Raw genomic sequence first — 19,776 nt, 5'->3', positions numbered from 1 at the left:
TCAGAACTCACCTTTCCAGGACCAAGTGCTGGAGGCAAAGAGAGATTTTGGAGTAAGTGACTTGGTTCTCTGGACCCTCAATTGCTGGCATATTCAAACCCAATGGTGGGTAAAGGTGATTATTGTGATCCTCAAACACATTTTTGATATTCCAAGATGGGGTTTTGTTCAGAAAGAGAATAGAAATGAGAATATCAGAGAAAGAGAAAAATGATAGCCCTGTGGTCTATATGCTAAAGAGGCTAAACATTATATTTTTGGTTTAATAGGATTGTGGTGAATTCAGTTAAAATAGAAATGAAACATTGCAGCAAGTTCTAGCATCCACCGTGTCAACCAACAGCCTTAGTTTCTGTGGTGTAGACCTGGGTGTGGCAGGTCTGATGGGAGTGTGTCATCCATCAGCAGGCTCCTGCCCAGCCAGAGACTGAGGGAGAAATGGGTTAGAACACTGTGGCTTGCAGGCATTCATTCCTTGAGTCAGGGACAGGGCAAACATGGAACATGGGCATGGGGTAGGTTAGCCCTTTGAGAACAGATTGGGTGAAACTGGTTCCCGGTTTCATGAGAAGCCGGTGGGCAACCAGGAAAATGTTTTAAAGGCAACGGAATGGATCTGACCTTCTTTACAGTAGAATATTTTCCCAGAAAATCACTTTGAGAATCTTTTGAGCTTGACTATTTCACAAGTTAGCCAGGTTGAACACTGATAGGGTTCTGAAACGATCACCTTGTGTGTCTTCATGGGACCATGGCCAAAAGGAGCAGAATTCCCTGGGTGTGATTTGCAGAGCAGCATCTCTTTGGGCAGAAGAATATCTCATTTATGAAGCTATCAGGGATTAATGACCTTCTTACTCATGATTTTTTAACACTGTCTTAGAAAGAATATTTTTCATTTAAGAAATACATGTAGGATACCTGCGATGTGGCTAGCACAGTGCTCACCAGGGTATCCGCCCCCATGGAGCTACTGTTGGACAGTCAAGACAGGTATTCAGAAAGCAATTGCTAAACTCCATTTAAAAGAGGTACTTAGTCACAAATTGTGCTCATTCTTTGAAAGGTCAGTTCTCTGTCACGTCCTGCTCTAAAGCCCTACTTATTCAAAGTTACTCTTAATATTAACTTTGAATATATTTTTAAAAATCTGATCAACAGTGAACATTTTCTAAATTCTTTGGATCTAGAAACACATTCTTTGAAAGTTTGCATTTTATATCAGATTTTAATAATGTAAACAACTAATGAAGAGGAAACAGCTATAGATAACAAACCCGCAGAAACAATTGCTAAACAGGCACTCGCATCGTGTGTTTGTGTGAATGATTGTGTTTTGTGGGAAAAGCGCTGCATTTATTCACCTCGGCATTTGAGCAGAGCTCAGTTTCCTTAGGGGGAAAATTTTTCTCAATACTTATATCACAAATGACCTTTAAAACATGGGAAGCAGGTAAATGGAACTACGTTTCACAATTTGGGAGACAAAGAGAATGGTTTCCTTAATGTGTTTTAAGGCAGAAGATAATGAAACTACACATGCGAAGTCTGTAGAAATGGCTTTAATGCTATTCACAAGCACAGGTGGGTGTACATTTCACAAGCACAGGTGGGTGTGCGGAAGGGTGAACACAGGCCTCCATGCCTCAGCCTACAAGATGGGTGGATGGCATAGTAAGGCAACAATTCATTACACAATGAATAGTAATTTGCTGTTTTAAAACAACTAATAAATGTACATTGTTTTACATTTGGTGAATTGATTCACCTGAAGCACTATTTCGAAGGGGTCTGAACTAGTCATATTATGACCGTTGAAACACTGTATGACTCTAATGAACCCACGTGGTCTTGTTATGATGATCTGGGTTGCAAAGGTTTATCCATATTTGCAAAATAAGTAAGTTGTATAAAACATATGCTCTTCATACAGTCTATGATGAGAACTTTAGAGAAATCAGTACTTTGTTGTCAAACTGGGCTCAGCCAGTGAGTTAGTGTTTGCAAAGCACAGTGGGATACGGGAGGGAACCTCCAGGTAAGCTTTGCTATCATCATTAGAATTGTGTCTGATCATCTCAACAAACTCTGTGGGTTAGGCAGGACGGGAGCGTTGTGTCCTTGGATATGGTATTTCTCAGGGTCCGCCTAGGGATCCTGCAGCCAGCCTCACATGGCCAGGCACTAGCGATGCCCTTGTATGCTGCCTGTGGAGCCGCAGGTACATGCCAGCAGCTTCATGCCTTTTGAGGCTGCTCAGCCTCTTGGAGGGCCTGGGACCCTGCAGATTCTGCAAAGGGCAGCAGGTGCTAAGCCGAGTTGCAGAGTGGGCACTCCTTCCCCACCCCACACCTACTCAGCAACCCTCCTTCTCTTATGCTGGAACCGGTCATTCAGGGTAGACTCAAAGCAGGTTTCTAGCTGACTAATCTGTTGCCTTTCTACAGCCTAGACAACAGGCAAGATGTGTAGGGGGCAGGGATGGCTCAGAGTCAGGGGCCCTCTGACCCTGAAATTCCAGTGTGGAGAGAAGCTGGGGGCCCTTGGTCCCTGCGACCCTCTGGACTGTTTGGACCCAGCACTCAGAACTTTCAGGGGCCTCAGGCAGATGAGGTCATCGGCCGGTGGTGCAGAGGACTGATCTCCCCTAACAATTGACCAGCTCTCTAGCCCTGGTCCTCGTTCCCTGACCCTTTAGACACCTCCACCTCCCAGGACTAAGAACGTTCATAGGCTGCTCTGACATCCCACAGAGAGTGGTGAGAAACCAGCAAAGTCACTGCCTATCTCTGAGCTCATCTTTCCTCATGAAAAAAAATAAATACATAAATAAGAGAAACAAGAATCAGTGTAGGATGAAGCAGGGAAGTTCTGGAGTCACGCCGCCTGGGATCTGCTACTTACGACTCAGAGAAGTGACTTCATCTCAGTCAGCCTCATTCTAATCATCTGTGAAATGGGATCACAAGAGCTGGTTTAGCTTGCAGGGCTGTTGTGAGTGAGCCATAATAAGGAGCTCTGTGCCCTTGACGGCTCAGGGTGGCCTCCTCTGTCACAGACCCATAAGTCCCTAGAACACAGTAGAAACTGTGAGTGGGAATAATGTCACCACCCTTAGCCACTGCAGGCCACACTCATTCTGCTGTCCTGTAAACAAACAGTAATAAACAAAACACTTCAGCCCAGAGGCGTTAGTAGACCTGCCCAGGAACTCAACCTGACAAGTGGCAGAGCTGAATGGAAACAGGTCTCCAAGTCCTTTCTTTCTGTGTTGGATTCGTTGGACAGTTTCTGTGTATCAGGCCGAGGAGAGGTGCTTGGGTGGAGTCAGGAAGGGAAGGAAGGGTGGCCCCTGGTCCCGGAGCTCTGTCCCAGAGGGGAAGTGTGGCATTCCTGGTGTGCCCCAGAGGAGGTAAGGCCTCACCTCACCCCGCTTGTGAGTCTCATGGTGGGTCTTCTTTATTCAGAAGGGAAAGAGGCAGTGGGCCCAGGCAAAGGCATCCAATGTGTTTCACATGAATCCTCAGGTGAGCTTGGGTGCTGACCCCAGCAGGGGATGGTGGGGTCTCCTTTGCATGACCCTCCACACCTACCCAGAGGGGGACTTTGTGATCCTTCAAATAGAAGGCCAGGGCCCAAAGCACTCCTGGTGACCAGGGCGCTGGTTTACTACGGCTGCACTGGAGAAGGACCTGAGGCATAAGGGATGTCTGTGAAACCTGAATGCCCCATGTGGGGTAGCAGTGAGGACGCCGTGGATACACAGGTACTATTTTCCCCGCTGTTAGGGCCGCCAATTCTGTGTTTGTTATGCGCTTGCTGACATATGTCCTCACACTGCCCAAAGACCCTGAAAAATAATGACAGCACTGATTAGAATTTCAGACAATGTCCTAGTTTAAAAGCAAAAAAGAATTTGTTTTAGTGACAGGTTTCAGACCATGAAAGTTTCATTTTCAAAATGTTTAAATGTTTAGTAAAAAGGGAAGATTGAGGAAGAAATGAATTATATTTTATGACTATTCATTTTACAAAAATCACTGTGAAAAAGAACACCCCTCCTGCTTCTCACGCCCCTCCTGCCAAGCGGCAAGGAGGTGTTTCATTTCGTCCTGGCCCTTAGTTTCATCCTGGCCCTCGGAATGCCCTGCTCCTCTGGCTCTCTTGAGGCACGCCACTTCGGCACCATGTTCAGCTCCCGTAAGTCACTGTTCCCACAGGGGGAAGCTTCTCCTTTTCTTACTCAGTGTAGGGATATGGTGGAGCCTTCCAGGGTCCCCCAGAAGAGAGCGGGGGTCCCAGTAGGGGTCCCAGTCTTCAAGGCTGTTGCAATAGCAGAGACCACAGCCACAGGTGCCAGGCCTCAGGGTGTGCCTGCCCCAAACCCTGCAAACAGGAGATTGTGTTGAATCCTCACAGCAATATCCTGTGTTGTTTTATAGTTAACCCCATCTGATAGATGAGCCACTAAGGCTTAGGTTGGCAAAGTGGCGTCCCCACCATGCCACAACCAAGGAGAGGCTGAGCAGATATTCTGATGCAGATTTACCCGCCAACGTCTCCTCGAGGCACACCTGGGACCTATAGCATGGCAGCGGCCCTGCGTGTGTATAAAAGGGTTGCACAAAGTCCAAAGTGCACTTCCCAGTAGTAGACCTTGGCCTCCCTCTGCTGGCCCCAGGCCCGTCTCATTTTGAGTAACCCAGTGTGCAGGACTCTTGTGGTATATACACTGGGAAACATTGACCTTTTGACTACAAATGTAACCATTTTCACTGGACACTACATGCTGACCAGTATCTTTCCTGTCTTCCTAAATAGGTTCTGGTCTTAAGATCAATGAACCTTTTTCTTCCCCCAAGCTAGCAGATGGGAGGCATTGTTAGTTAGCCTGCCTCTCCCACTTGGAAAGACGAAATAGTGTATAGAGAGTCACACTGTGAACTTTTCTCCAAGAGCAACACAGGAACTTAACAGAAAGGGAAAGAAACCATAGTCCCTTTGAAAGAAGTGGCGGGCAGCAGCCTATACCGCGAAGCAGATGGAAGACTTTGAGTCTCTAGAGCGTGAGGGGAGACACAGCTGCCAAGACGCTCACTCCCACAGGGGAGCTGCAACCCTCAGAAGCCCATGACCCTGCCCAGCACTGGAGCCGAGTTAGTGAGTGGTGGGGAGAACAGAGGGAGGAGCAGCATCGGGACAGGCTCTGTGGGCACTCCCAGGCTCCAGCGGTGATGGAGCGAAGCCATTCCTGATCCCATCCCACAGGGGCCCTTGTGGAAGTCTGCCAGCCGACTCAGGCGGTGGTCACAGGGTGAGAGAAGCTCCCAACTGAGTTTTGCCACATAATCTCGAGAGGGGACGAACCCTATTGGCTTGAACCCAGGGGCAACTGGGAAGTGTGCTATGGCCACGAGTGCAGGAGCTGGCACCCCTGCTTCCCGGGTGGACCTGGAGGGCCGAAGCATGAAAGCCAGGTTTCTGTCTCTATCAGGAAGACTCATGGCCTGGGCGGTTTTGAGTTCTGAGAGCAGGCTGCCTGGAACCCAGCTCGCTGCTGTTGGCTGAACCCTGCGGGTGTGAGGCCTTCCTTGCCAAGTGCGTGGGAGCTGAGTGGGACTGACTGCCGCCTGTTACTCCTCACTCCCCATGCGGATTCTTTTGTGCAGCAGCGGCAGCTACACTCATCTCTGGAACATTATCCCAGCAGCCAGAGAACTGCCCTCCAATCCCCCGCTGAGGACACTGCTTGCCCCTGCATGTAGGGAGCCAGGGCGTGGACTTACCTGATCTAGCCTGACCCGCTTTGCCCCTTCACTTGCCCTGGTAAACACAAGGGACAGGGACGTTTGGGAACTCCAGGACCCCGCCCATTGCCTGAGACTCCAGAGTACCTCCCCTGGGTAACATGAGGCAAGCACCAACCCCATCACTACCACCTCAGCTGGTGATCTTTTGCGAGTGCCACCTCCTGGCTGGTGGCCAGCTGCCACCATCCATTGCAGCATCTGCAGGCACAATAACACATTACTCAGGAAGAAGAAAACCTCTGTGCAACCTCGCCTACTGACATTGCCTGCATCACCCTGGCTAACCAGATGTTGAGTCTTTCCATATGGAAAGTACGTTTCCATATACCTAGTACGTTACTACTATTGTTGGCTTTGAGAAAGCCAACATGCTAAGGCTATTTACAACCAAGAAAATCTCAGTCTATGTCTCTCCCCTGCCACTGCTGGGAGACTGGACAAGTTACATCATTGGATCCCTTGTAGATATCCCTAGCACCAGCCTGGAATGTGGCAGCCCGACTGGGTGGCTAGACCCAGAGGAGCAGCAGCATTCACAGTAGTCTGGCCTTCAGGGGCTGCTACTCCTAGGGGAAGTGAGAATGCACACATTAAGGGAGGACCCTATGAGACAAAGGAATTCAGAAGGCAGGCCTTGAGTGCTAGAACTTTCCACGGGTGGGAAGTTTCTTTCAGCAGAGGCACAGGTGCAGTGCTCGGTTCGGTGGGGAAAGTCTGTTGCTCTACCCAAGTAGTCAGGCAGCCCTGATACTTGTGAATGGTCTTGGAGAAGGGGACTTCTTCCATCCCTTGACCACCACTGCAGAGGTAGCGGGGGCTTCTCCCATAGGAGCTTGGTGTGGGTGCATTAGTAGGCACCCTTTCTGGAACACTCTAGGGTGACTGCATCCCCACAGCATTCCCTTCCAGGTTCAGGCTTGCATGAGAGAGAGAGAGAGAGAGAGAGAGAGAGAGAGAGAGAGAGAGAGATTCACAACCCCTTTCTACATGAAACATCAGTATTCCTGATGAATAAGAGCTGCCTGTCTGATCTAACAGCTGGAATACCAGGTCAGGAGTGGGCTGGGAGGTGGATTACTTTCCTTCTGGCCTGGAAGGAGAACTGTGGTGGATCCCTCACCTCCCCCTGAAAAGAACTCAGTGCATTTTACTGACAGCTTCCTCAGTCACCTCTGTCAAAGCTGGGACCTCCACCCACCACTGGGATATCGCTTTTACCCACCTGCTTTAGCTGCAGCCATTTTCTTTTTAACCCATTGGCACCTCCTACTGGCCCGAAGCCTGAACTGTTCAACCTAGTGAATAAAATACTGGGGAATTTTTCTTTTTAAGTGCACATCACTGGGAAATGAGATATTCATGAGACCACGGCCATTCCAGCCCCACATGAGACAGTGAATCTGCTTACACACACAACACATTTTTAGTACATCCAGCATCTGAGAAATCCATCACACAAAGATTCTCCATAACCAAGGAACTCAGAGTCTTTGCCACTGAAAGTATGCAGAGCTGAAGCTAGGTGACAATGAACTATAAACATTAAAGTCACATCCTCACGGGGAAATGTTTTAAAACCAGTCAAATAAAAATTAATTTAAAAATCATAAGAAGAAAGAGTCTACCCAAATGAGAGTAAATCAGAAAGATAATTCTGGTGATATGAAAAAACAGGTTCTAAAAACACCCACAAAAGATTACACTAACTCTCCAGCAGTGAGTCTAAGTCAAGATGAAATCTTTGAGATACCAGATAAAGAATTCAAAAGGTAAATTATTAAGTTACTAAAGGAGAGACAAGAGAAAGGTGAAAACCAACATAAAGAAATATTAAAAACAATTCAGGACATGAGTGAAAAACTTTCTAAGGAGAGGCATATTTTAAAGAAAAAACAATCAGAACTTCTGGAAATGAAAGACATATCTGGGGAACTACAAATACTGTGGAAAGTTTTAGCAATAGACTAGACCAAGTAGAAGAAAGAATTTCAGAGCTCAAAGACAAGGCTTTCAAATTAACCTAATCAGACAAAAATAAAGGAAAAAAAGAATTAAAAAAAATAAACGAAGTTTCCAAGAAATATGGGAAAACAGCTAAACCTAAGAATTATAGGCATCCCTGAGGTAGAAGAAAAAGCAACAAGTAGGGAAAACCTATTTGAGTAAGTAATTGAGGAAAACTTCCCTAGCCTTTCTAGAGATTTAGACATGCAAATACATGTCTAAGAAGCTCAAAGAACTCCTGGGAGACTCATTGCAAAAAGGACATCACCAAGGCATATAATCATCAGGCTATCTAAAGTCAATGTAGAGGAAAAAATTCTAAGAGCAGTCAGACAAAAGCACCAGGTAACCTACAAAGGAAAACCTATCAGACTAACAGCAGACTTCTCAGCAGAAACATTACATGACAGAATGCAATGGAGTCCCATCTTTAGTCTCCTCCAAACAGAATAATTGTCAGTCAAGAATTTTGTATCCAGCAAAGCTAAGTTTCATAAATAAAGGAGAAATAAAATCTTTCTCAGACAAGCAAATTCTGAGGGAATTTGTTAATATTAAACCAGTCCTGAAAGAAATGTGAAAAGGAGTTCTAAATCTTGAAACTAAAGGTTGATACACACAGAACAGAAACTCCTGAGAGCATAGAATTTACAGGGTTTATAAAACAATAACACAACGGAGAAAAAAAAGTTACTAGGTAACAATCAATACAATGACTGAAACAGTAACCTACATCACAATGTTAATGTTGAATATAAATGACCTAGATTCTCCACTTAAAAGATACAGATTGGCAGAATGGATAAAAAATTACAAACCAAATATCTGCTGTCTTCAAGAGACACAACTAACATGTGAGGGTTCATATAGACTCAAGGTAAAGGGGTGGGAAAGGATATTTTGTGCAATTGGAAAACAAAATGAGCAGGAATAGCTATTCTTATATCAGATAAAACAGGCTTTAAAGCAACAACAGTAAAAACAGACAAGGAATGACATTATATAATGATAAAAGGACCAATTCAATCAGAAGACATAACAATCCTAAATATATATGCATTTTTACATATAATAAAATCTGAGCTCTCAGATTCATAAAAATATTACCATTAGACCTAAGAAAAGAGATAGACAGTAACATAATAATAGTGGGGGACTTCAACACTCCACAGATAGCACTAGACAAATCATCCACACTCCTCCAAGTATGGGGTGGTGATGTCCCCAGTGACAAGTTGTGCAGTTTGATGCCAATGCCTTGATACTGTGGTAAGGTCAACCCATCTCACCCACCATTGCTTTTCCACCATCTGTTCAAGTATCCCCAAAGAAAAAAGGAAATAACATCTAAGTATTGTGATGAAAATAGTTTTGATCTTGCAAACCTCACAGTGTAGTCTCAGGAGCCTCCAGGAGTCTGGGACCACTTTTTAAGACCCGATGCTATAGATGCCTCCCACCGAAACTCTGCCATTCTGGAATAAATCAGACAAATCTAGTTTATTAAATAAATGTCACACACCTGGTTTTGGTCTTCCCATCAGTTAGGTTTTGATATAGAATTTTCAGGAATCCAAAAAGTCCTGAATCTTGAAGACAATCTTCTATTTCTTTAGTGATTATTTACTTTCCTGTGGGTAGCTTCTTAGACTTGGGAAAAGGTCCTTTCTTCAAAAGGTGATCAACGGAAAACAGCAAAAAATTCAGATTAACCTGTTAACTTGGAGTTTGTATCACTATTAAAAAGCATTTGAATAGTTATTCACTGATTTAGAGAAAATAATCTCATCATCTCGTGGGTCCTCAACACTAAAGCTTATAGTGTCAACACTTCCAAATGGCTTGCATCTAATCTTTGGAAGACTCACTCTGCCATCAGCAATTGACCTTTGTGCACAGCCAGTCTCTGTGTTAACCAGTCCAAGGCCCTGCTCCACCTGGTCTGTAAATATACTCCCTGAAGCTGGACTTCTTAGAGTGAGTGAGGTTGCTGAATATACATCTGTTGGCCATAACTGTTCTGGACTCTTCTTTTCAACAGAGTCTCACTCTGTCACCCAGGCTGGAATGCAGTGGTGCAATCATGGCTCACTGCAGCTTCAACCTCCTGGCCTCAAGTTATCCTTCTTCATTGCCCTTTCAAAGTGCTAAGATTACAGGCATAAGCCACAATGCCCAGCCCTGGACTCTTTCTTTGAATTGGAATTAATTTTTCTTGTCTTTTTTTTGTGTGTGTGAGATGGAGTCTCGCTCTGTTGCCCAGGGTGGAGTGCAGTGGCATGATTTTGGCTCACTGCAATCTCTGCCTCCTGGGTTCAAGTGATTCTCCTGCCTCAGCCCCCTGAGTGGCTGGGATTACAGGTGCACAACATCATGCCTGGCTAAGTTTTTTTTGTATTTTTTAGTAGAGGTGGTGTTTCTCCATGTTGGCTAGGCTGGTCTTGAACTCCTGACCTCAGGTGATCGCCCTCCTTAGCCTCCCGAAGTGCTGGGATTACAGGCATGAGCCACCATGCCTGGCAAACTTTTCGTTTTGTGAGGGCTCCGTTATGTCTTTATAAAAATTCAAAGTTATACAATAGTTTGTAATCACATGTTTTTTTTTTTAAAATCTTCAAGAGCTTTCCCTGCATCATCTGGAAGTGTGTTCAGTAGTGTTGGAAGCAAGCTGTGTGGCAAATGTAAATCCTCCTGCTTTTAGGTTTTAAATGCACAAGCCAGGTTCTGTTGTAGCAGAAGCTCCCAGTGGGAGGGCCACCCAAAAACCCTGTAGCATGAAATACTTCATTTTATCTTGAAGGAAATCTGCTTGTTGCATGCTCTCCAAAGGATCTGGCTCCTGCCTGTAGGTTTAGTTTTAGACTGATGTATTCCATAATTTTCTTTGTTTCTATCTTTAAATGCTGGAGAACAGGCTAGGAAAGAGGGAGGAATAATTGTATTGACTCCTCAAACTACAGAAGACTTAAAAAAAAACTAGGTTGTGTTTAAATTGCATCTTCATCTTGATCCAAGGTGACCATTTATCTTTGTCACCAGCAACACTCAGGTCTACCCTCTGCCAGGACAGTGGCTTCCAGATGACTAGTGTGCCCATTGGACTATTGGACTCTACACACAATGGTCTCAGATCTCTGTATTTGTTTAGTTTCTGGATTTTTCCTTTCTAGATAAATGCTCTCTTTTCTTGCTGCTTGTTTTTTCTTTCAGTTTGCTTCTCTGCTGTTTAGACACTCATTTGTAGAAGGCCATGACCCACTTCTAATTTGCTGATTCTAGTTTTACGTGAACGTAACAGCACCTAGCTGAGCTTCCTGGCCCCATCCCTTCTTTCAACAATGCATGGGCATCCTTCTTGGGTGAGCTGCTATGCTGACTGCTGGAAATGTGGAAATACATGAAGACAGTAGCGGAATAAGGACAGTGTACCACAAGCGCCCAGTGGAGGGAGGAATTATCTGGATGAGTCAGTAGTAAAGTCGTCCTAGAGGAAGAGATCCTTTTACTGAGGCTTGAAGGACGACTAGGCGATTGTCCTGGAAGTGGGAGGCGGAGGATATTCTGGCCCCTGTCCTGGGGAATTCTCTTTGAGAACTGCTGTTTGAACCAGTTTCCAGGCCACACAGGAAAACAGCCCCCTTCCTTGAGAGCCTTGTCCCCAAGTAACATTCCACAACTCAGTCACAGTCTTGGTTCTGAATCGGCTGATTCCAAAGGCTAAATAAATCTACCTGCAAGAAGGTTTTCTTCCATTCAGGCTGCTACCTTGGGCTTCTGAGGCAATTCCTAAACCTGTTTTGAGAATGGTCACATGATTGAAATAGGTAAACAGTCTTCTATAGTAAGTAGGAACTGTTTCTAACCTGCAGTTAGGTTTCTAAATTAGTTTTTGTTATGCTGTAACATAGAACTCAATTGGAACAATATTATCAAAGGAAGGTTAAGATCCCAAGATGGTCTCCATTTTGCAACTAAGAATCTATATATTAATAAAGCCTTTGAAACTAATTTCCATGTTTTACTCTGTTTCTATGGAGAATGACAGTTATGGAAGTTGGAGATGTGGAGAACGTGGTTACATCCATGCATGGGATGTGACGAAGCAACTGAAAATCACGCTTGAGGAGATGATATGTACAATATGATGTATGAAAAAGGCAGGAGTGAGATTGTTAACACAGGTGCCTCTGGGTGGTGAGGCGTACTGGGTTTAATTTTTCCTAACACTGTCCTGTTAAAACAAAAGTCCTCCATATTCACACAATGCTTCTAATACCAAATGTGTAGTTATCGACACCAAATTCCCCAATTCTGTGGGGACACCAGCTGGGTGTCCTACAATTTAATCCACTTCTGACACTATCTACCTGGAGTCTGGGCAGACTCCCCAAATTAAAGAGCTTACCCTCCCAAGACTGCCCCACTTCAGACACCAATCACAAGTAGTGGGTCCCCAGGTTACCCACACTTCTCTCCATCTTGGCTGCAAATCAGAGGTTCCCCCATTCCCCCCCTCTAGTTTGATAATTTGCTGTAATGACTCACAGATTAAGGGAAACACATTACTCCCTATTACCAGTTTATTACCAAGATACAACTTAGGAACAAATGGCAGAGACACATAGGACAAGGTACTAGGGGGTAGGGTAAAGAGAAGCTTCCATGCTGTCTCCAGGCACAGCACCCTCCCAGCTCCTCGGTGAGCTCACCAACCTGAAAGCTTTTTGAACTCCATCATGTGATGGTTTTCTGGGGGCCTCATTGATGAAGGCATGATCACTAAATCGTTGGCCATTGATGATTAAGTCAATCTCCAGCCCTTTTCCCCTCTCTGGAGGCTGGGGGTGAGGTTGAAAGTCCTAATTCACTCATCAGGCCTTGGTCTTTCTGGTGACCCACCCCTATCCCGAAGCGACCCTATGGGCTCCCAGCCAGCAGTCATCTCATTAGTAGAGAAAAGACACTTATCACTCTGGAGATTCCAAGGGTCTTAGAAGTTCTTGTGTTAGGAATGAAGGACGGAGACCAAATATTATAACAAAAGATGCACCTATCACCCCTATCACACAGGAAAGTATAAATAACCAACAGAAATTTATTTCTTGCAGTTCAGGAGCTTGTGTCAGGAACCAGGGACAGAGACCAACTATGCATTTCTTATGATGTCATAATTAGCATGCATTACTTTTATATTTAGCAACAATATTCAACGTTTTCCTTTTTAAAAAGGAAGAGAACAGAAAATGGGGAAAATTAATTCACTTTTCATAAGGTCTGGAGGTTTTAGAGCATTAGCCAGAATCATAGGAAAGGGGTAAACTTGGAATTGCAAAGCTTGCTGGGGGTTTGATTTCAACTGCAAAACTGAGAGCATGTGACTAAAATGCTGGTCCAGTTGCTCATCACTTGTAGAATCCAGTTAACAAGAGTGAGGTCTGGTATAAAGAAAGTAGCTTTTTCACTCTAAAGCTGGCTTAAGGGAATAAGTATAAGCTTCCTGCCTAAGGGTACCATTTAGCTTTTGGAGAAGAAAGTGAACACTTGTAAGGGAGGCCTAACATGAACGGCATGTGGTAGGCGGGCTATCGGGGAGTCCAAGGAGGCAGGAGTGGGGGAAGTGAGCAGTTTTGGGGCCCATGTGTTAGCTTGGTAGATGCAGTCAAGCTAGTGATGGCTGGTGTCTTCGTGGGCATGCATACTTTGAGTTGTAAATCTACTGTTATCTCTTGAGGCAACTTCTTGGTGGGTGAGTTCCCTTCTGAAGCTCCCAAGCACATAGTTAGATGAACTTGCCCTGTAGGGAGTGTCTAATAAAAGGAGGTAAAAAAGGCTATATATGCATTTCTAAAGGGCTAAGTAGGAAGTAGGAAGTGTGGAAAAGGAGAAAAGAGAAAAAGAAAGAGGAAAGAATAATTAAACTATCTCTTAGAAAAAATGGGGGTACTTGGTTACAAGAACAATAACACAAACCACCTCTTACCATAGAGGTTATCACCAGGATAAAATGAGACCATTGAAATCACTAATTTTGGGGCAAATGTTGGCTGAAACTGTGATCCATACAGCATGGCCTCCCCCTTGTTAATTCACCACAATTTCTAGTGTCAAGTGGTGTCTTCCAAGATGGTCCCGGAAGTTTTCTGCATTTTGGGGGTTAAGGCTCTTTTCACCTAAGGAGAGCATAAGGAACTTGAACAGAAAGAAGACACCAAGGAAACTGTTAGAAACAAGAGCTCGGAGTCACAAGGAAAATGAGCACTCAAACAAAGGATTTCTCAAGAAGGCAAATTTACTTCTGCAGAAGTATGCCGCTCACAATTCTGGCCACTGCAAGAGCACACCAAACAAAGGAGGGAAGGGGTTTTTATCCCTAATGCGGTTAGTTCCTGGTTCTGTGTCTGGTCCCCATTGGCTGGAGTTGGATCACACAATCTAAGCTGACCCCAGTTGGCTAAGACTTAAACTTTTCCAAACAGGGTAAACATGTGATTCGTAAGGCAGGGAGGGGGCAGGAGTGGTCCCTCTGCTGCAGCACAAGGCATGTTCAGACATGTCTGGGCAAGTCAGGGCACAACAAGAGCAGGAGGGCTGCTTAAAGGCTAGAAACAAGAAAGTACAAGGAGATGGGGCCTCCGAACCAAGGACAAGGACATTACACAATTAAACCCTTTGAAGAGGAATTCACCATCTCTGGCAAAACTATGTGGACTACGCAGGAAAGTTTTTAGGGACTCTGAGAATTAGTCAGTGGTTCTTGAGTGGGGTGGGAGGAAGAGGCAGCGGGACTTCCAAATATCTGGCCATGCATCCTTGAGCTTTGACTCTTCCTCTTTGGGCCTCCATTTTCTTCCTCACATGACAGAATGTTATGATCCCTGAGCTCACTTCAGATCTAAACATTGGATCTTTCACAAGGATCTGCAAAGGGCAACTCTAGTGAATTTTCTTGTTCTTAACTATCACTTTGCACTGCAGCCAGTCTTTGGGAGTAAAAAGCATGAGCTTACTGTGGTGGGGCATGAGGAAAATAAACGGACCACACTTGGAAACATTTATCCTTTAGATGAGGACAGATTCTAGTGGTGAATGAAGAGGAGAAGCCCCAGTAGGCAGACAGTCAACAGCATATGCCCTCGGTCTGCAGGCCAGCCCAGACCCACCTGGTCCCTCAGAAATCACCCACTGCTGTTTATCATTTTTTGACAATTTAATGCAGGTTCAGGAGGGATGATCTCTGCCCAAGTCAGGAGGAAGATTGATAAAGCTTTTCAAAGGCCACTTGTTTGAGCCATTGGCACTAAGAGCTTGCATAGCACAGGCCTTGCCCCTACCTGAGACCCAATCTCTGCAGAAAGGAAATCTAACAGCCACCTTCAAAGGAGACTCAATAAAATGGAAAAACACAGCCATGAATTTTTAAGGGACCCTAATGCCAAAAGGGTGATGACAGAGGGAGGAATTTTCTGCATGGAAGAGCTTGTTAGCCCCATGGATCTGAATGAGAGCATTCACTGTGGCTTCTGCCTCCATTTCAGGAATATACAGACCAGAGACTCAGGAAAAGCCAATTGATAAGCGGGCTTCTTATCGCCTCAGACACCTGCTCCCAGGAAGAATCCCGCTTTCTCACCCAAGACCTTCTGCTGGGTGGAATGTTGCCAACTGTAGGTACAGAGTGCTCGTAATTTGCCTGATTCCAGCCACACAATAATGTTTTGTTGCCCTTCAACCAAAGTAAATAAAAAGCCAGTGTTTGGGGGCAAGATTTAGCATTGCCATCAGTGGCAACAGCCTGGTGTCCAGGCTGCCCCAGAGGAGGTGGCTGTGATGAGCAGCTGCCACGGGCCCATCCTATGTGGGTGACTTGGGAGAAGGCAGAAAAGCTGGAGAACTCTCTCCCCTTGGAGCTGATGAGTGTACAGTCTACTGCAAAAGTAAAATATCACCTCCTACCTGACTGGAAAAGTGCTGGGTAAAGCTCCTCACTCTGCCTTCTGGAAGTCTGCACTCCCAGGCCTTAGGTGTCTTCCCCATGAGGCTAGCTCAGAAGGGAAATGGAGCAGGCATCTTGTGGGCCTCTGGTGTACCTGCCAGCTCTTTTGTACCTTCTCCTTCAGGCATCTTAGGCGAGGACATGGCAGATGTTATATCAAGCTTCGCCTGCTGAGGTTGAGTAGTGGGTCCAAGGCCGTTCTTTATATTCTTTGAAATAAAGATTGTGAAGAGGAACAAGAAACATTTTAAAAAGTTCATTGTCAGGCACTGATATTGCTCTACAGAAAGTAGCAGAGTGGTGTTTAACCACCTGGGACTTGGGGTCACACATCCCCAAGTACAACCCTGGTTCTGCCCCTAGTAGCAACAGCTTCTCTTCTTTGACCCCAGGGCATCCCAGGATGTCCCAGAGGATGCAGAGGGATGCTCTTGGCTTTCCCTAAGGCTGGTTCAATTTCCTCATCTGTAAAATGGAGTGGGAACAGAAGTGTGTTTTTGGGATGTGGTTAGGAGGTTACACAAGGTCCACGGGAAGGACTGGCTCATGGTACACGTGACATGGAAGACATGCGGGCTGCTATAACAAAGCACCATAGACAGAAATTTTAAAAAACCGAAATTTATTTCTCACACTTCTGGAGGCTTGGAAGTTCAATGTCAATGTGCAGGTGGATTTGATGTCTGGTAAGGGCTAGATTCCTGGCTCGTGCATGGTGTCTTCTCCCTGTCCTTGCATGGTGGGGTGGGGTCGAGGGGAGGGGTGGGGGAGCACTCTTTTAGAAGGGCACTGATCCCATTCATGAGGGCTCTGACTTTATTACCTAATCACCTCCCAAAATCTCCACCTCCTCATACCATCACCTTGAGGGTCAGGATTTCACATGAATTTAGGGGACCATGAGCATTCAGTCTGTTGCAGAAGGCACCGTAGATGATCATGAATGACCAGAGCAACCCCTTAGCAGACTCACTTCCAGATGAATCTTTGTGGAGAAGGGAAGGGCAAAGAACCAGGTGCAGAGTCGGGCTGGACCAGGCTCTGAGGGACAGGGGTGGCAAGACAGTGCTGGGAACTCAGGAGGTCTGGTCAGGAGGACAGGACTTGCTGAAGACCATCTTGCTGGCCCCCTCCTGGTGCTGACCTTTTCAAAGGGTCCTCTTTCCTCACTTGCCTGTGGCACTGCACAGGTTGTGGGGACCCATGGGCGGCAATGGAGTGCACTCGGAGGGTATTTTAAAATCCTTGCTAATCGTAATTATGCAGGAGAGGGCTCTAGGGGACTTCTGGGGCATTGCTACAAGGACGGCGAGTGAATGACACTCTGTCTTGGGAGGGTGGATGCTCAGGGGACCATCAGAGCTGGGGGCCCTGAGTTGAGAATTGCCCTGGCTGTCCCGGCAGGGAGTAAGGGGCAGGCCCCGGGGCATGGACAAGGCTGCTCAGACCTAACTCTGCTGTCCCAACTGCATCATGATCATTTGTTGAGGCCTCACTCTGTGACAGACACTTGGGTAAGCCTCCCTTCATTAAGCCTCCTTACTATTTATTAAGCAAAATAATAAGCAAAACATTTTTCAGCAAGGTGTAAGCATACAGAAAATAATATGCCAAACGCCCATATTTCCATCACTCAGAATTTAAAATATTAAAAGTCTGTGCTCATTGACATTAGTTACCAGGGAGCTGCAAATCAGAACCACAGTGATACTGCGTCACACTCATGAGTCTGGCTGGAATCAAGGCATCAGATAATAGCAAGTGTGGTTGAGGATGTGGAGAAATCAGAACCTTATTCATTGCTGGTGGGAATGTAGAATGGTACGACCTCTTTGGAAAAGAGTCTGGCAGCCCCTCAAATCATTAAACAATTACTCTGTCACCCCACAATTCCACCCCCAGGTGTATACCCAAGAGAACTGAAAACATTTCAACACAAAAGCTTATACACAAATGTTTACAGCATTATTCATAATAATCAAAAGACAGAAACAACCTAAATGTTCGTCAACTGACAAATGGATAAACAAAATGTGATCTATCTATACAATGGAATATTATTCAGCAATGAACAAGGAGTGTAGTGCTGATACATGCCGCAACAGGGATGAAACTTGAGAACATCCTGCTGGGTGAAAGAAGCCAGACACTAAAGGCCACAAAATGCATGGTTCCATTCATATGCACACATTCCCATGATTCCATCCATATGAAAGTGTGGAACAGGGAAATCAGGAAAAATAGAAGGTAGATTTGTGGTCTCTTGGGGGAGAAGGAAAGATGGGGGAGAGATGGCTAAAGTTACAGTTTCTTTTTGAGATGATGAAAGTGTTCTGAAGTTGTAATAACAGCTTCACATATCTATGAATATGTTCAGTTGATGCAAAAGTAATTTCATTTTTTGGCATTATTATTATTTGAGACAGAGTCTTGCTCTGTCACCTAGGCTGGAGTGCAATGGTGCAATCTCGGCTCACTGCAACCGCCACCTCCTGGGTTCAAGCAATTCTCCTGTCTCAGCCTCCCAAGTAGTTGGGATTACAGGCGTCCACCATCACATCCAGCTAATTTTTTGTATTTTTGGTAGAGATGAGATTTCACCATGTTGGCCAGGCTGGTTTCAAACTCCTGACCTCAAGTGATCTGCCCTCCTCAGCCTCCCAAAGTGCTAGGATTACAGGTGTGAGCCACCACACCTGGCCGCCATTACTTTTAATGGCAAAAACTGTAATTGCTTTTGTACCAACCTCTAAAAACCATTGAATTGTACATATTACGTATGTTTGTGAATTACATCTCAATAAAACCATTCCTAAGAGTCTGCTATATTCTCTTCCTGTATGTTTTTAATTGCTAAATAAAAATTGTATATATTTATGGTGTGGAGCATGATGTTTTGATATATATTGTGGAATGGCTAAATTAAGCTAATTAACATATGCATTACCTTACATGCTGGTTATTTTTATGGTGAGAACATTTAAAATGTACTCTCTCAGCAGTTTTTAAGAATATAATACATTGTTATTAACTACAGTCACCATGTAGCACAGTGGAGCTCCTGAACTTAGCTTCCGGTCTAACTGAAATTTGTTTTGTTGTTGTTGTGTTGTCCAGGCTGAAGTGCAGTGGTGCAATCTTGACTTACTGCAGCCTCAACCTCCTGGGCTAAAGTGATCCTCCTACCTCATCCTCCTGAGTAGCTGAGACTACAGGCGTGTGCCACCATACCCAGAGAATTTTTCTATTTTTTGTAGAGATGAGGTTTCACCATGTTGCCCAGGCCAGTCTTCAGCTCCTGGGCTCAGATGATCTGCCCACCTCAGCCTCCCAAAGTGCTGGGATTACAGATGTAATTTTGCATTTTTACCATCTCCTCTTATTTATTTGTATTTGTATTTTTAACCATCTCCTCTTATTTATTTTATTTTTTTACATAAAAGAAGTCTGGCCAGGTGCAGTGGCTCATGCCTGTAATCCCAGCACTTTGGGAGGCTGAAGTGGGTCGATCACCCAAGGTCAGGAGTTTGAGACCAGCCTGGCCAACATGGCGAAACCCCGCCTCTACTAAAAATACAAAAATTGGCCAAGCGTGGTGGTGCACGCCTGTAGTCCCAGCTCCTTGGGAGGCTGAGGCAGGAGAATCACTTGAACCCAGGAGCAGAGGTTGCAGTGAGCCAAGATCATGCCATTGCACTCCAGCCTGGTCAGTAGAGTGAGACTCCATTTCAAAAAAAAAAGAGAGAGGGAGAAAAAGGAAATCAAGATTACCGAATACGTGGAAGTCGAGTTCCTACCCCTTCTTGGTTCCATCCCCTTCCACCCTTGCCAAGGCCTTCACTATCCTGGATTTTGACCTTGAAGTCTGTGGTTAGAATGCTGTTCCATACGCCACTAAGTGTCTTTCTTGTGTTTCTCATTTAACCACCATATGAGCCCTGTAAGGCTGTACTGCTGCTATGTCCATTG

The 19,776-nt window shown here is 45.2% G+C and overlaps 1 pseudogene, besides 2 other annotated features; it reads right to left on the bottom strand.

The window, feature by feature from the left end:
• On the bottom strand, positions 9,113-9,817 carry BUB1P1 (BUB1 mitotic checkpoint serine/threonine kinase pseudogene 1; annotated as a pseudogene).
• Positions 14,002-15,201: an enhancer, noted in NCBI's record as "MED14-independent group 3 enhancer chr10:129660798-129661997 (GRCh37/hg19 assembly coordinates)". NCBI's record gives its function as "activates an origin of replication core promoter dependent on BRD2, BRD4, P300/CBP and CDK7 cofactors, and independent of MED14, by STARR-seq in HCT116 cells {active_cell/tissue: HCT116}" and the evidence as "EXISTENCE:reporter gene assay evidence [ECO:0000049][PMID:35650434]".
• Positions 15,627-16,128: an enhancer, noted in NCBI's record as "H3K27ac hESC enhancer chr10:129659871-129660372 (GRCh37/hg19 assembly coordinates)". NCBI's record gives its function as "activates a minimal SCP1, AML or CMV promoter by ChIP-STARR-seq in naive H9 embryonic stem cells {active_cell/tissue: H9 hESC(naive)}" and the evidence as "EXISTENCE:reporter gene assay evidence [ECO:0000049][PMID:30033119]".

Source organism: Homo sapiens, chromosome 10, assembly GCF_000001405.40.
Source record: "Homo sapiens chromosome 10, GRCh38.p14 Primary Assembly".
Taxonomy (NCBI): Eukaryota; Metazoa; Chordata; class Mammalia; order Primates; family Hominidae; genus Homo; species Homo sapiens.
The sequence above is the reverse complement of the archived record's forward strand: the minus strand, read 5'-3'. Positions and strand labels throughout refer to the sequence as shown.